We start from the raw sequence: 16877 nt of genomic DNA on the forward strand, positions 1-16877 counted from the left end.
GGGAAAAGGAACTTAGGTGGGTAAGAAGTGTTATAAAGCCACTCTCAAGCAAGTTTCATGGCAGAAGTGTCTCATGCTATCTTAATGAAAGATGTATCTGCATTCCTTGCTTATGGATGAAGAAGTAGAGGGCTAGAGAGCTTAAATTAGTTAGAATATAGAAAAAAAAAATATTTATTCTCATAGATAGATAGATACATAGATAGATAGATAGATGATAGATAGATATGCTGTGAAAAGCAGGCTACTTTCTATTCTGCCTCCCTAGAAAAGAGTACTTTTCTGCTTTTTAATTATTTGTGATTTCAGTAACTTAATCATAGTATCACACTAAGTCGGTGTTTTGAAAAATATGCAACACTGAGCACCGGTATAAGAATCACCCGTGGATGCGCTTTAAAAATGCAAAATCCTATGTTGCACAATTCATTACGTCTGTATATCTGGGGCATGTCTGGTAACCTGGATGTAGAAATACACCCTTACAGGCTGGTTATATACTTACCATTTTGAAAAACACTACCCTAAATAGGGTGAGGATGGAGAGATGAGGAGAAAGCTGATAAAAGTTTCACCAGATTTTCTTCCCTCAGCACCTCACTAGGGCTGCCCAGTGAGTGAAGGAGTAAGTGGGAATCTTCTCTTCTCCAGCTTTGCCCTGAAAAGATGAAGTCTTCCCTCTAAAAAGAGGAGTTGTTCCTAAACAGGGTATATTCCTTTCCCAGATGCTTCTACAACAAAGTGTCACTAAGTGCTTAACTTTGTCTTTGTCAACCAACATTAACTACAAAGGGAACTGCTGTTTTAAAAGTCATAGTTTTGCTTCTTAGGCATGAGAATAACATAGGACTTTGGATAGAGAGAAATCAAAGGCTTTTAAAGATGCAGACAGACTGTCTGCTGAGAAGATGTTTCCTCTAAGTAGTATAGAGACAAAGCTCATTTAATTCCATCACATTCTTTCTAAAAGAGAATTTATGGCACATTATCTACCCTCTATTTGAGAATAGGTTTCCAAGGCTTGATAGTGACTTTTGTAGACAGGGAAAAGAAAATTCATTTTCAATTCATCTACATTATAGTTTTATCGAGAAAAAGTAGATTTCAAGTTTAAACCAACAAATAAACTGAGGCTGCTATCACACTCTAAGGAATTTACCTTAATGTAGAAAACTCATGAAAATCAAAAATACACATTGTACCTAATGTAATATCCATCGCACATATCTGCCAGTCAACTCAGTCTCAATGATGATCCTCTGATGAAAGGCCGCTGTACCATAAGATAGAGTTCACTAAAAGTGGTGTGTTAAAACATTTTATGCCTTAGAGATACATTTTATTTGTACTAGACACATATTTGACTATATATACACTGGTATGGGATGAGCAGACCTTTGTCTGCATAACATTTGGCTCCACACATAGGTTTTATTGTTAACTAGGTAAAACAGAAGTTATTTTTATAAATTATATGCAGAGTATTTATCATTGTATAGAATTGTATATACTCATAGAAAGCTGAAAGCTGTTATTACTGGATTATGAACTCAAAACCTATGATCCAGACATATTGGCTTCAAGCTAAAATGATTTTTTAAATATCTATTTCAGAAAATTTTATATTCATTCATTTTTAATCCTGTGAGTTATCCACCATTTCTTGACAACCAAGGAGTGAGTGCTGAGATCACATAGCAGCTTCTTATCTAATAGAATACCATTGTATATGAACCAGTAAAAACACCAGGAATGGGAATAATGACAAATATCTAAGTAAGTTGTGAAATCTAAGTACCTATTATAGGTGTTTTTAAGAACTCTTTGTAAGTGAATGCTAGAAGTAGACAAATTATTTAGTGGAAAATCCTATGTTCACATCAGTAAAATATTGCAGGCCAGAGATATCTTTTGATTTCTAATCTATTGTTTTATGTATTTTATATACAAAGTACAGAAATTTCACAAGAAGTCAAACACAGTGATGCCATTTGCTATGTTTTATTTTGCTAGTAGCTTATTAAACATAACATGCAAATAATCAAAGAGAAACATACATGACTTAGAGTGAAAAATAATTCTAGAAAAGTTTCACTAGGTAAGTATGCAAATTCTTATTCTAAAAATACTTCTTTAAGTGCATGAAGCTTCATGTATTTTGCAATATTCTTGGCCTCAATATCTACCACCTATTTTTTAACCAGACAAATTTGAATGTATCAAGATAATTTGGTGCAAGAGAGTAACATCCATATGTATTTAATCCAAGCTTTGAGGAACATTAAGATTTAAGGATTATAAAACTTGGCTGATTTCCATGCAACCAGTAAAAGGTTTTGCACATCATTTGACAGTAGAAATAAAAAAACACTAAATTTACAAATAAAGCATTGAGTTTGATGTCTATTCGTGTATATGTGTGTGTTCTTGTGATGAAATAGGCCTGCCTTTCATCTTTTCTTTAAAAAAAATAAATGTTTACAAAACATTTCCCTCAGATTTTAAAATTCATGGAAGTAATAAACAGTAATAAAATATGGATACTATGAAAACTGACACACAGAAAAACATAACCATAAAATATTGTTCCAGGATACAGATATTAATTAAGAGTGACTTCGTTAGCAACACGTAGACATTCATACATATCCGGTGGAAGACTGGTTTCTGAGATGCGATTGCCATCCAAACGCAAATGCTTGATCTTGGAGTAGGATAATGGCCCCAGGATCTTGCAGAAGCTCTTTATGTCAAACTCTAAAAATTAAAGAATAGAAAACATTAATCATTTTTCAGTACACTGGCTCAAAACAATACAAAAAATTTATGTTTAATATATTATAAAATAGGACCTCTTCCCATTTAGAAAAGTCATAATATAGTATATGTTTGAATTTGCAACCATTAAAGGCATATTTCAGGCTACCAAAATGGCACAGTAACATTTAGTAAAGAGTAATCATGGTAGATCAAGATATTCAGTGGAATATTTTAAATAACAGAACTTATTTTATTACTAGAAGTTGTTTTTAAAAAGGCATTCAATAAGTGTGTCATATTATCTAACAACTTTTTTGAAATAGTATAACCTGAAGAAATATAAATGGATCCCATTGTTGTATGAACAATCTCAGTATAAGTACTCTTTGGTTTTACATCTAAAAATAAGAAGGGTTAACTAGATGATCTATAAAGAATTTTCTAGCAACCACATACCATGACCATGATAAAAATTCCAAGACAAAAACCAAATCATTCCAGCAATCACACACCATAGCAATGATCAAAATTCTAAGGCAAAAACCTAATCATGGCATGTCCACCATCTGAACTCATGTTTTTGTTTATTTGTTTATTTTTGTCCATGGTCAAAAAGCTGCCACAAATGAAACACTGACTTACTTTGTAATAGAAACCAAGAGTGTTACTGAATTGACTGACCTGTGTATACACAGAAACTATGTTTGCCTATGTCTATTTTAGATTAACATTTTCAAGTCCTTTATCTTGTTTTCATTTTCAAACTCTAGTTAACAAAGACTTCAGTGGAACCCCAAACACACATGCTTTTTAAAATAACTCATCAGTTAATTCCAGGGATTTTTCTATGGTACCAACATTTGAGAAAGTGAGGAAAAATGGAAAGAAGATGGGCATAGTCCCATCTTGGAATTCTACCTCTGCCACTTACCCAGGTGGGCAACACTGGAACACTTATCTGATCTTGTTAGAAATAACACATCTATCTTACCGTGTTGCATGAAGATTAAATTAAGTTGTGTAGAGCACTTCACACAATACTAGTACATAGTATGTCCTAAATAATGACTAATATCCTTTTGATTTTGCTGTCTTTCTAAATTACTCTACACTAGGAAGATCTCTGATTGGGCTAATGCTTAGAGTTGCAAGTTTGAAATAGAAAACAGTTTGTTTTGGCTATATATTCCCTAATATTAGAAAAAAACATTGAGGGGAACTTTCTGTATTAAGTGAATGTGAAATGTTGATATAGTTGATTATTATCTGGCAAAATAACCTAAACTGAGGTGATACATAAAAAGACAAGGAGAATACCTGACTAAATGTACAAAGATAAGGAAGAAAGAAAGGAAACTATTATGTTACCTTTTCAAATGACCACTATGTACTGGGCACTGTGGTTTCTATCTCAGCTTGGCACTGACAGGCCGTTGGCCTTTCTCCCATAGACCTCTCTTCCATCCTTTACTCATGCAATGTATACCTTCAAATGTGCCTACTTCTGTATCCTTCTTTGTTTCAGAGAAAGAAGTAGCCCTGCTCTTACGAATAATCTCTACCCACCAAATCTAATGTACTCCGTCATCCCTTAAGCATCGTAAATTCCTTTAGCATTTTGGTCTGTCAGAGAGTATCCTTCCTCCTAACCACATATGTTTAAAATGAGGAATCACATATGGCCACATAGTGAATTTTCCACTGGAAACAACAAGAGGGGTTTAGCTGTGTTAGCCTGACTGTGTATTGTGTGACAGTCAAACAGCACCAACCCTTACCTTGGCTGCTTTTCAGAAACAACAAAGAACATGTGGAGCTTCAGAGTTGGCGAGTATGGTCTTCTTTATGAAAACGTTTAACCCTACTAGAGGTTATATGAAACTGGCAGAATTAACAAACATCATATGCATAAAATATATTGTAATATTTTCTGACAGCAATACCTTTATTCAGCATGGCCAGAAAACCAATTTTCATCATGTAGAGATGTTCAAATTCAATAGATTATTTTGCAGACATTATTACTTTATATGTGAATCAATGTTTCCTGCTTGATTTTTTCATTTAGAAAGCCTTATCTGTGAATCATGGTTTTTCTCTTCTACCAAGCTCTGCCAAAGATTAATGGCAGAGTTATCCTGGTAGGAAATGGTGGATTTCAATTTCCCATTGGAATCTATACTGCTTAAGTTGAAGAATGTCCCTGAAGACCACATAAGTGCATAAGCAGTCCAAATGCATCAGATCAAACTTCATCCAGAAGATAAATGAAAAATAAAGAGAGGAGAAAGAGAAAGTGTGGAAATATCAAATGAGGGGCAGGATTGTACCCAAGAAAAAAAAAGCTCTGTAACACTATTTTTCTTCTAAAAAAAAAAAAAAAAAAAAAGATGTTAGAATCTCCCATCATATTTCTTTTTCTCTTTAATCTTCTTCACAGTCCTCCAGAGCACTGTGATGGCCACACACCATAACAGAGATAACAGAGGCAGATGATGATCATGACAGCAGAGTAACATGGTGAGTCCCAAGTAGTTGATGTCAGGGAAGACCATGAGACTATATGGGGCCAGGCACAGTGGCTCACGCCTGTAATCCCAGTACTTTGGGAGGCCAAGGCAGATGGATCAGTTGAGGTCAGGATTTTAAGAACAGCCTGGTTAACATGGTGAAACCCCATCTCTACTAAAAACATAAAAATTAGCCTGGTGGTGGTGGTGGCCTGAGGTGGGAGAATCGCCTGAGCCTGGGGGGTGGAGGTTGCAATGAGCCGAGATTGCACCACCTCACTCCAGTCTGGGCGACAGAGTGAGACCCTGTCAAAAAAAAAAAGAAAGAAAGAAAGAAAGAAAACGAAAGAAAGAAAGAAGGAAAGAAAAAGAAAGAAAGAAAGAGAGAAAGAAGAAAGAAAGAAAGGAAAGAAAGAAAGAAAGAAAGAAAGAAAGAAAGAAAGAAAGAAAGAAAGAGAAAGAAAGAAAGAAAGAAAGAAAGAAAGAAAGAAAGAAAGAAAGAAAGAAAGAAAGGGAAAGAAAGGAAGGAAGAAAGAAAAAGAGAGAGAGAGGGAGGGAGGGAGGGACAATATGGGCTTCTTTGTGGCTATGGAGTTTGCCAACTGTGCCACTTTTGAACTCATTTCTTCCTCCCTCATCTAGATCTTGTCAAAAAATAAATGTAGGACACAAATCTAAGCCATAAAGGAGAAAATAATAAGAGATATATATGAGGAGGTAACACAGCAGGATGAGTTGGCCCGGAATTTTTAGTTTGAAGACTTACATATTAAATTCTGTGACCTTAATTGTTCCTTATCTGGATACACCAAAGAAAGGCTGGATATTGGATATATGATTGAGCTAGAATTATTCTTTGTTTGAAGTAGAGGGATATTTTGTGGACATTTTTTTTTTTTCCAAGACAGAATCTGGCTGTCTTGCCCAGGCTTGAGTACAGTGGCACGATCTCGGCTCACTGCAACCTCTATCTCCCAGGTTCAAGCAATTCTCCTGGCTCAGCCTCCTGAGTAGCTGGGATTACAGAAGTGCGACACCACGCCTGGCTAATTTTTGTATTTTTAGTAGAGATGGGGTTTCATCATGTTGGCCAGGCTGGTCTCAACTCCTGACCTGGTGATCCGCCCACTTCGGCCTCCCAAAATGCTGGATTTACAGGAATGAGCCACAGCGCCCGGGCGACATTTTGTTTTTTTAATGGAGCCAGATGCAATATCTGTGTTGTGCAGCCCAGGTATTTAAACACTTGAGCACACATCAAACACAGGAACAGCTTTTTACTTACTCTCAAGTTGATTGACCTCCAGGTAATAGTTTTCAAGGTTTTCATTGACAGTTGGTATGTTTTTAAGCTTGTTATAGGACAGATCCAGCTCAACCAGGGATGACACATTGAAAGAATTTCCAGGTATTCCACTATCAGCCAGTTCGTTGTGAGATAAACGCAGATACTGCAATGCATTAAAACGCTTGAAATACTCATCAGGGATGTTGCTGATCTTATTGTTGTCTAAGTAGAGAGTTAGAAGAGAGACAGGGAGACCAGAAGGCAGTCTGGCTATCTGATTGAAGCTCAAGTCAAGGTATTCGAGTGATTTAAGACCTTTAAAAGCAGCTGAAACAGCATCCTCTTTCAGCCGATTGTGCTGGAGATGGATGAAGGTCAGGTTTACCAATCCTTCAAAAGAGCCCAGCTTTGTGATCTTGTTATGAGTAAGCTGCAGATCCTCCAGAGATTTGGGAAGTGGGCCCACAGACTCTGTCAGGTTGTTGTGGTTTATATGCAGCTTCTTCAGTTGTTTCAATTTAGAGAAAACTCTCCCTTTTATCTTGGAGTTTTCTAGAAGGTTGTGATCTAGAATGAGCCACTGCAGATCAGTTACATTCTCAAAGGCCTTTTCATCAATATGGTCAATCTGGTTATTCCTAAGGTAAAGATACTTGATTCCAGGAGGCACCATTGGTACACTTTTCAATTTCAGCTCATCACAGTACATGGCACTTGGGTAGCTTTCAGGGCAGTTACATTCTGGTGCACAGTTTGGTGATGATTGCCCATAAATTGATAGGGGAAAATCATAATCATAGTACTGGCCACTGGTACCACCAATCAATGCCAGGAAGAGAGTAAATGCACTTAGACTCATTTTTGGCAAATGGTTTGAATCCTAAATAAAGATGAAACATTTATTAATTAAAAAAATATATACTTTCAAGAAAAAGACATTCAATTTGCAACATTAAATTCATTAGAAAATGTGCATTTTGTTATTTTATAGCTATTTTTAGTGCATCTAACAGCGTCTTTTAAATTTTTATTTAGGTATGAGGACAAAGGTGTATGTTTACAACTATGTAGTGAGCAGCTTTCAGGTTAGATTGCGTACACGTGCGCCCCCTTCTGGGCGAGCCCAGCCTAATTGTTCCAGTCAATCTCCAGGCTCTTCCTTAATGAAATGCCTTCCTGTAAGAGGTTTCTGGGTGGTGTTCATTGACCACCGAATTAGACTACTGCTTCAGATCATCTCTCAAAAAAAGAGAATGAGAAGACAGTTTTTAACTGTATACTCTACCCTACCATTCGACATCATTAAAATGACTCATGAAGAAGATCCTTACGGGAATATGGGCAACCTGAGGTTTTGCTTGTATGTGGGAGGGAAATGGAAGGCACATTCCTTTAAAAGTGTCTGGTTACTGTTGGTTCTGAGGAAGGAGAACAGAATTCTTGGTGCTGGTGTGCATGCATACTAGTTCATGTTGTGCTTAACATTCTACACTTTTTAAAGCACATTGCAAAACTGTGTTCTGGAACTAATATTTCATAAATTAGCTATTTACTAAACAAAATATTAGTAATATTTAATAATTGCTAATGTTTATCAGGAAAATGTCACACATTCTGAAGGTTTCTCTTTCTGGAAAGAGATTCAACAGGTAGAGAAAGATAGTATTTTCCAAGTTTTCAATTAGAGTTATAGTCTCTCTCAATTACTCACAAGTTCTCTACTTTCTTCATGCCAAAATCGAAGATGCCATGGTTTGCATATCTGGCTTTTAGTGGCCTCACAGAATGGAGGTGGGAGAGAGGTGTGATGTTTTTAAAGTTTGGATTTAATACTGGTGTTAGAACTATCTAGTAAATTATTCAATTGAGAATATGAATTTGAAATAATGTGTAACAGTTATCTTCTCATAGGAACATGTTTCTAAGGTGAGGCTCAAAAAAGTACATTTCAATGTCTTAGGTGCAGCAATTTAGATATGGGAAAATTGGAATATAAGAGTTAGACTTTTATAGAGTGAACAGTTGTGGCTGAGGCAAAGTTGGTAGCCCTGGGAGATAAATCATTAATGTGACGAAAGATCTACATTCTAATAGATAACTGAGAATATTATATCTTTCTATGAAAGTATGATTACAAGCTTTTGGATCAAAGTAGTTTGGGATAAGCAGGATCTTTGGGGTTAGAAACTGAAAACGTCTTTTATTTGTTTTAATTTGAAATTGTAAGGCACTTTATTTCAGATCAGATGGAACGTTATAAAACAGCTTTTAGAAATACTTTGATTGCTGACATAAGGTAACATGTAGCCAGATTCTCAGTAAATTACTCTCTAAGATTTTAATGGGGGCATTTAATTTTGCTGACAGAACTTGGCCATAATAATAATTGCATAGCACTAAAAAGAACGTGATGACATATTCCCAGAGTTATTTTAAGTTATAGAATGTAAATACTGTAAAGATTTGTCTTGCTTTATTAATAAGCTATTTTAAATTTACTATACACCAAAATATGGCAACTATAATGTGAGTATTAAATAGTAATGAAAAATGCTTCCATATTTTTTGGCAAAGTAAAAACAAGGATGCTGAATTGAATGAGAGTTTGCAACCATATAATGACTCCACTATGAGGCAAAATCACACTGTACTACCCTCAGTTTTTTCAAATACCTGTGGCTATAGAGAAAATGCTGTTTTCAAAAACGAAATCATTTCCCAGAACTTTTTAAAAAACTCGTTCCTTAAGGCATATATCCAAGAAACAAATTTTTTAAATTAACAAAACAGAAATAAATAATCCATAAGAGTTCCTAAATCTTTTAGCTCATGTTTTATAACATAGAACGTTTATTGTAAATTATAACAAATTGTCACAATATGCTTATTAAAAGATATTTTGAATGCTGATTAAAATGACTTTTCTTTGCTCCAGTATTAGGGTCCAATACTAACATATATAACTAACTAGCATACATAACAAACATATTAATTTCTATATTTTTTCACTGTGTCTACTTTAACTATTTTCTCATTCTAACCTTGAAACTTTTTATAACTTCTCTTGCCAAGCAATACAGCATATACTGTATAAAATCTCAAATCTATAAATCATGGAAAACATATTAACAAAATGTGAAACTAAATGCTCAGAACTGTGGATTTGCTGTTGAATAGCAATTGGCAAAATTGCTCTGGAATTTTTCCTGTTCCTGTTACAAAAAACGCTGTCCCAAACAGTTAACATCCCCAGTGCAATAGTTAAAACAGCACTTACCTTACTGTCTTGACACTGCTTTCGTTAATTCTTAAAGCAGATGCACTATGGACAAGAATCCACCAATATATGCTGTGAACTCTGTCAGGACGGAACTGGCTGCCAGATTCTGAGTGATACAAGAGCTGAAGGGGGGTGGGGAGACCCAGCCCAGTCACGCCAGTCTCTGAATGGAGTTATGTCATTGTGGGGATCTTGTGGTGTGGCATGTGAACACTGCTCTCTAACGAAGTGCAGGTGAACGTGGGGAGAAAGGACAGCCCAGCTCATTCCCTATGGAATGGGAGAGAGATATGTGTTTAACTAGCTCAAATACCATAGCTTTTAACCAAGAATTGAGTCCTGCTTCAAATAAGGAAGCTCACTGTGAGAACATTTTTCTTACAAGCCTCTTTACATCTGTGGCTGTGGCAACAATTAAGTGCAATGTGCTCAGCCAACTATCATGTTTATCTAAAGATCTCAGAAATCATAAGCAGGGCAAATAATTTCAGGAAAACGCAAATGAACAGACTCAGAGGAATTGAATCCCTTTGCCTATCACTTTTGAAATCAATATTGATTTACTTGGACTAACTTAATTTTTTGGCCATGAGGGTAGCTTACATTAGTTTTAAAAATATAAAATATGCTTCATATACACTTGGATACACATGATAAATATCAACATTTCAAGTTTACTTCTAATGCTAAGGAGACTCATTTTATGTTATTCAGGTCTGGAACCAATCAGCAAAGTCTTGCCTGTTTTTTATTTTGTGGATTTCGTTTAGGAATTCACCCAAAACCTTACTTGGGGAGAGCATTCTATAGCTTAATGCCAAAAAACATAAAAGAACAGAGAAAAAAATAAATTTATACTAAAAGTATCACAAGGCAAGAATCTTTCATTGCATGCTAGTAATTTTTTTTCAAAGTTAAAAGTTATTCAAAGTTATAATCTCCCAAAGGCCTGGCTGGATATATCTTTCATTATCAGCTCCTGATGCATGGTTTCAGCAAATGAGAGATGTACTTAAATCCTTGTCTATTTCATTTTGTGATTTTATCAGATATATTTATGAGATTTTTTTCTAAAATGTTCATTTCCTCATGTTTATAAGAACTTTTACACCAATATATTTTAATATAAGTTGTCACATTGTATTTTTGTCTTTAAAAATAACTATATCACATTTTAGCAGTGAGACTTGTGGAAAATTAACTCCATGACTAATACTGCATTTGTCCGAAAAAAAGACTATTAGAATAAATGGCTTATTTTTGTAATAGCAGTGTTCAAAAACAAAAAGTAATCTTCTTGAAAGTAACTAATGGAATTGTAAGATGATTCATAAACATAACATTTTTCCTAATATTATTTTAAGAAAATTATTGATAGGCCTCAGTTTCAACAAAGTAACTGAATAAATTTATAAGGAATTAAGAAAAAAAGACAAATCAATCGAATATAATTAAGTGATCTTGTTATAAGAGGATTCTTAAAACAATGCTATGTATTAATTTTGAGTGTATCAAATTCTATAATCTGAGCTCTTGTTAGAAAAACTCCACCTATCCATTCCTTAAGATTTTTCTTTATAAAGCAATACATGTGTTGTGGTATTTATAACAGACCTCAAATGCATTATATTGGATTTAGCTCATTGTAAAGTCTTGTCAACATATACTTTTTAATAAAATCAGTTCTGTGAAACCAATAATTGAATAATTTTGTGCGTTTCAGAGCATATTTTCAGGGTCCAATAGAAAGAAATGAAATTAACATTTATAGTGGATCTAATATATTCCATGATTTATACTCAGAGTTTTCACATTTCTTCCTTTAAATTTCATACATTAAAATTCCTATGGTATGTTTTACTACTCTATTTTCAGGAGTATAAATGGAGAGTCAGAAAGTCTCATTCATTTGCTAAAAGTCACCTAACAAGTAAATGTAAGAATAAAACCATGAACATCTTCACTCACTGGGAAGAGGGTGAACAGGATGGAGCTGAGACAATGTAGTTCACTCAATCAGCTTAAAATACTTTATAGACAATGTTACTATCAGTTGAGAAAAAGCAGAAATATTAAATAGGCAATAGTTATTTAAAAAGTCAAATGTTAATTAAGCAATAGTTTCTTTCCTTTTACATTACACACTAACATATAACATGCATAGCCACATCCACATCTCAGAACTTTTGGGTAACGTATAAACATTCCATCCTGGCCAATGGTGATTCACATCATTGGTGATAATGAGCATTGGAGGCTAAATGCATTTCATCACAATACAGGTTAAAATGATGGGAGTTCTCATTGTTCACCTCCCACTTATGAGTGAGAACATGGGGAACAATACACACCCGGGCCTGTCAGGGGTTGGTGGGCACGGGGAAGGACAGCATTAGGAAAGATACCTAATGCATGCAGGGCTTAAAACCCAGATGACGGGTCAATAGCGGCAGCAAACCACCATGGCAAATGTGTAACTAAGCAACGAACCTGAACATTCTGCACATGTATCCCGGAACTTAAATTAAAAAGAAAAAAAAAAAAAGATGGAATTGCCCTCTTCAGCCCAGGGACTGGATTCCCTGTTACCTGAGACCAGCAAGGATAATAAAGCATGTTATGACTGTTTCACACACTGTGTTCTGAACCCAGCCCTGGACTTACAGGGGAAAAGAATAAATTAAGTATTCCATCCCAGAGATAACTATCTTTTGGTATATCTTCTTAATGTGTGGGTATAAACATAAACACACAGACAATTTGGTTTTCACATATATCATAACATTATGCTTATAGTGCCAGACCCATTTTCATATAACAGTAAATCATTGATGTTTTTCTATATCATTAAATATCATTCTCTACTGTCATTTTTATTTGCTACATGAAATTCTGTTATATGGATATACCATAATGTAGTTGTTAGTTTTTAATATTGAACACTTGATTTCTCTTAAAATTTGCAAAGCACTATCACATAAAATGAAATTTTAATCTTTAAATTGGTTGTACCTGCTTTGTCTATTCTGCTTATCTCAAAAGATACATTTTAAATGAAAGCATATTTTGAGTAAATGGTTTATGCTTTCAAATCATAGAGTGGAGTGGATTTGAATTTTTTCTCTTCTCACAACAATCTAATTCCCATTCTTAATTTTAGCATCTTACAAGTCATGAAACTATCTTTTATTTACATAGTCCTTATACTCATAGCTGTATGTATTTTCAAACTTACTCTACAATTGCTTTTATTTTTCTTAGTATCTTACATGACAAGTACATTTTTGGAATTATCAATGATATGGTTTATTATATGTTTTTCAGTAATAAGTGTGCATTATAAGAGTAATATATATAAATTGGAACACTATACCAAAACATTAACCAGCATAGCAGTATATAAGGTTAAACATTAAATAACCCCTGGCTTAACTAACTCTCCAATTGCACTTTCTATAAGTAATTGTTGTTTAGACTTTATTAATTCAGATGTTTCAGACATGTCTTATATACACAAGAGAATTTCATTTCTCTTTCCTCTTTTATGGCAGCCTATGAGATAACTCAGACAGTTCAGAACTCAGATAACTTCTTCACTTAGGTAAGTGCACAGTCATAAATTTGCTTTTGGGAGAAATTCCTCTTTTCTCATGATAAGCAATGCTGTATTGAGGAAGTTTTGTGCAAGATAGCTTAAGGAAAATCCCAAAAGTAAGTGGGCTTTCTGGAGAACACAAATTTGTACACATATTTAAAAATTTTATAATTATTACCTAATTACCTCCAAAATGTTGTTCTGCTTATCACTCCCATCAAAGGTAGATGAGAATACACTTTTTCACCAGTCATTCATGAAGTTTGAATATGATCAAGCTTAAAATATCTATGATCTAATTGTTAAAGTTTTATTTCTTAAATAATATCTGGTAGTGCCAGTCTCCCTTCTTTATTCCTTAAGTGTAGGCTTATCAAACCTTAAAGCATCTGACCATGGCTAAACTCCCTGATGCCATTTTCTTTCCTCCTTCTGCCTTACATTCTAGCCATTTTGACCTTTACCCAGGACCTGATATATGAGAAGTCTGTTCCTACTTCAGGTCCTTTACCAGCTGTTCTCTTTGACTGAAGTGCTGTTCCCACAGACTAGCGTTTCTCAAACATTTTGCCTACAGGACTCTATGTACTTAAAATTTGTTGACGTTTTGAGGACCCCAAAGACGTATGTGGAGTCCATCTACCAGTGTGTATCACATTCAAAATTAAAACTGAGAAATATTTTAAAGCATTTAAGTAATTCATTATGATAAAAATAACAAGTCCATGCCATGTTAATATAAATACCATTTTTGTGAAAATATTAACATGTTCCAGAAAAAAACAATGAGAAAAATGGTATTGCCTTATATATTTGCACACCTATTTAATGTGTCTGAAGTTAGCTGGATTTTTATGTCTGTTCCCTTGTTCAATCTGTTAAGATATGTTGCTTTGATTGATGCATATAATGAAAAACTCACCCTACATAAATATTTAATTGAGAAAACAAGCATTATTAGTAGCCTTTTTAGGTAATTTCAACTCAATTTTATTCCATTTAAATTCCAACTCAATTTCAACTCAATTTAATTATCTCAGAAGTAAGCATTGAATTTTACCAGAAGCCACAGGACATCTGACAATGACATTGTTCTGATGGCTAGTAGAAGATCTGCTTGTGTGTTCTGACTTTTTCCAGAATTTTCCATAGTCATGATTTTCAAATACAAATGTGTTTTCAATGACCCAGTTTGTTCTCGGTAACACTACTGTATTCCTATTTATCTTTGTTTATGTCTGCTTTTATTTCTGCAATCTAGTTATTGTCCAATAAACCACTATTTTGTAATCTTTGTAGTCTTGTTTTGGAATAGTATTTTTATTTTTTTCAACTACTCTTCTTTTTGAAGAACAATCAGAACTCATCAAGTGGTAGTTTCTCAAAGGCTAGTTGCAATGTGGTATTTAAAATTACATCAACGAAGGTTTTCTACTATTTCCAAATTCTAATTTTTGCTCGAAAGTTTAAATTTTGCCAACTACTCTCAGTTGTTTTTCTTGAAACGAAAAATAGACTTTATTTTTTGAGAGTGTATTTACCAAATACTCTAATCTGACAAACCACACTTTTAATTAAAAACGGGTTCCAGAAAAAAAGTGGCTAGTTCAACCAGAGTCAGCTGTAGATTTGTCCATTTGTAAGGCAAAAGTACAATCCACAGATATAGTATTAATTCAATCTTCATGTCTTGAGTAAATCTTTATTTTGATTAATTACTGTATCATTGGAAAGTAGCTCGCTGTAATTTATTTTGCTGACTTTTTGTCCAGCAGACATTCAGCAAGGGTTTTGTAGTCTTCAGCGTTTGTGCGTATTTCTCAGACCATGCAATTTGCTTTATCTAGTAAAATGGTCAGTGGCTTTGCAATTTCCAGTTTGAAAGCTATAACAAATAATTTTTGGCTTTTAGAGTCCATTACATCTACAATTAACTATTTAGCTCATTTTTCTGTAAAATCTGAATGATTGGTCTCAAAATGTTGCTAGAATTCAGTTGTTACCATAAAAATATTTAAAATGTTTTGTTGTATAAGACAAAATAAATCAAATTATTAATATATACAATTGAAATGTAAATATTATTTCATTATTTATTAATAATATTTATTAACATTATTTATTGGTTTTCATTATATTTCTGTTGCCTATTTTAATTTTCGCTTACTTTCTTTGGAGAAGGGTGCTCTTTCCCATAATTCAGAGAACTCCTTCATATATGAATTTTGTGCAGTGTAGCTACGGGTTAAGAAAAAAAGTCTTCTATCTCCCTTTTGGAAGATAATGTGGTTTTTTGTTTTGTTTTGTTTTTTTGAGACGGAGTCTTGTTCTGTCGTCCGGGCTGGAGTGCAGTGATGCAATCTCTGCTCACTGCAACCTCAGCCTCCAGGGTTCAAGCAATTCTCCTTAGCCTCCCTAGTAGCTGGGACTACAGATGCCTGCTATCATGCCTGACTAATTTTTGTATTTTTAGTAGAGACCGGGTATCGCCATGTTGGCCAGGCTGGTCTCGAACTCCTGACCTCAGGTGATCCGCCTGCCTCAGCTTCCCAAAGTGCTGGGATTACAGGCATGAGCCACTGTTCCTGGCCTCATTTTTTAAATATAAGAAGAACATATTATAATTTTTTATCATTGAATATAACATTAAATTCAAAATAAAAATATGTTAAATAAAATTTAAAGAGTTAACAAACTTTGAACAAATAAAAATAGTATTACAAAACAAGCCTGCAAAGATTACAAAAGAATGATTTATTGGACAATAACTAGATATTGCACAAATAATAGCAGAGATAAACAAAGATAAATAGGAATACATAGTGTTACTGAGAACAAGCTGAGTTAACCACGAAAAGCACATTTATATTCCAAAATCATGACTACAGAAAATTCTAGAAAAAATAAAAATACATAAGCAATTATTCTACAGCCATCAGAACAAAAACATCATCACATGTCACATGGTTTTTGGAAAACCCCATTGTTCACTTCTGAGATAATTAAAGTGAAAAGTACAAATAACATCTTAATATTATCAGAAAAATATTTTTTTCATTTTGGACTTCCCGAAAGGATCCCAAGGTTCATGATACACACTTAGCGAGCTGTTGCCCTGGACTGTTTTATCATTGACTGCTTCTCACTTAGGTCTCTGCATCCTCAGACAGGCTTTTGAACCACAAAATCTGAAGTAGTCTTAGAGCCTGCTTCAGTTATTCTCTACCATTTTAATATATTATAATTTCTTATCATTTGTCACTCTTGGAAATTATATTAATATTTAGTATATTTATTAATCATTTATTTTTTAACTTTGACCCTTGTAGTATGTCACTTCCATGAAAATAAGTACTTGATCTGTCCCTTAGGCTTGACACAAGGAAGGCTCTCCACACATATTTGTTGAAGGAAAATATTCTAGAATATTTTTCCAGAATATTG

General features: G+C 34.1%; 1 protein-coding gene across 1 annotated transcript; it reads right to left on the minus strand.

Annotated features, from left to right (window-relative positions):
* Positions 1-1066: 1066 nt before the first annotated feature.
* LUM (lumican) lies at positions 1067-9932 on the minus strand. The gene is made up of 3 exons (NM_002345.4): positions 9836-9932; positions 6556-7438; positions 1067-2757 (listed from the first exon to the last, which is right to left on the minus strand). Exons 2-3 carry the CDS (start codon positions 7415-7417, stop codon positions 2603-2605), a joined length of 1017 nt encoding a protein of 338 aa, NP_002336.1. The 5' UTR covers positions 7418-7438; positions 9836-9932; the 3' UTR covers positions 1067-2602.
* Between the last annotated feature and the right edge of the window lie 6945 nt (positions 9933-16877).

Source organism: Homo sapiens, chromosome 12 (genome assembly GCF_000001405.40).
Source record: "Homo sapiens chromosome 12, GRCh38.p14 Primary Assembly".
Lineage (NCBI taxonomy): Eukaryota > Metazoa > Chordata > Mammalia > Primates > Hominidae > Homo > Homo sapiens.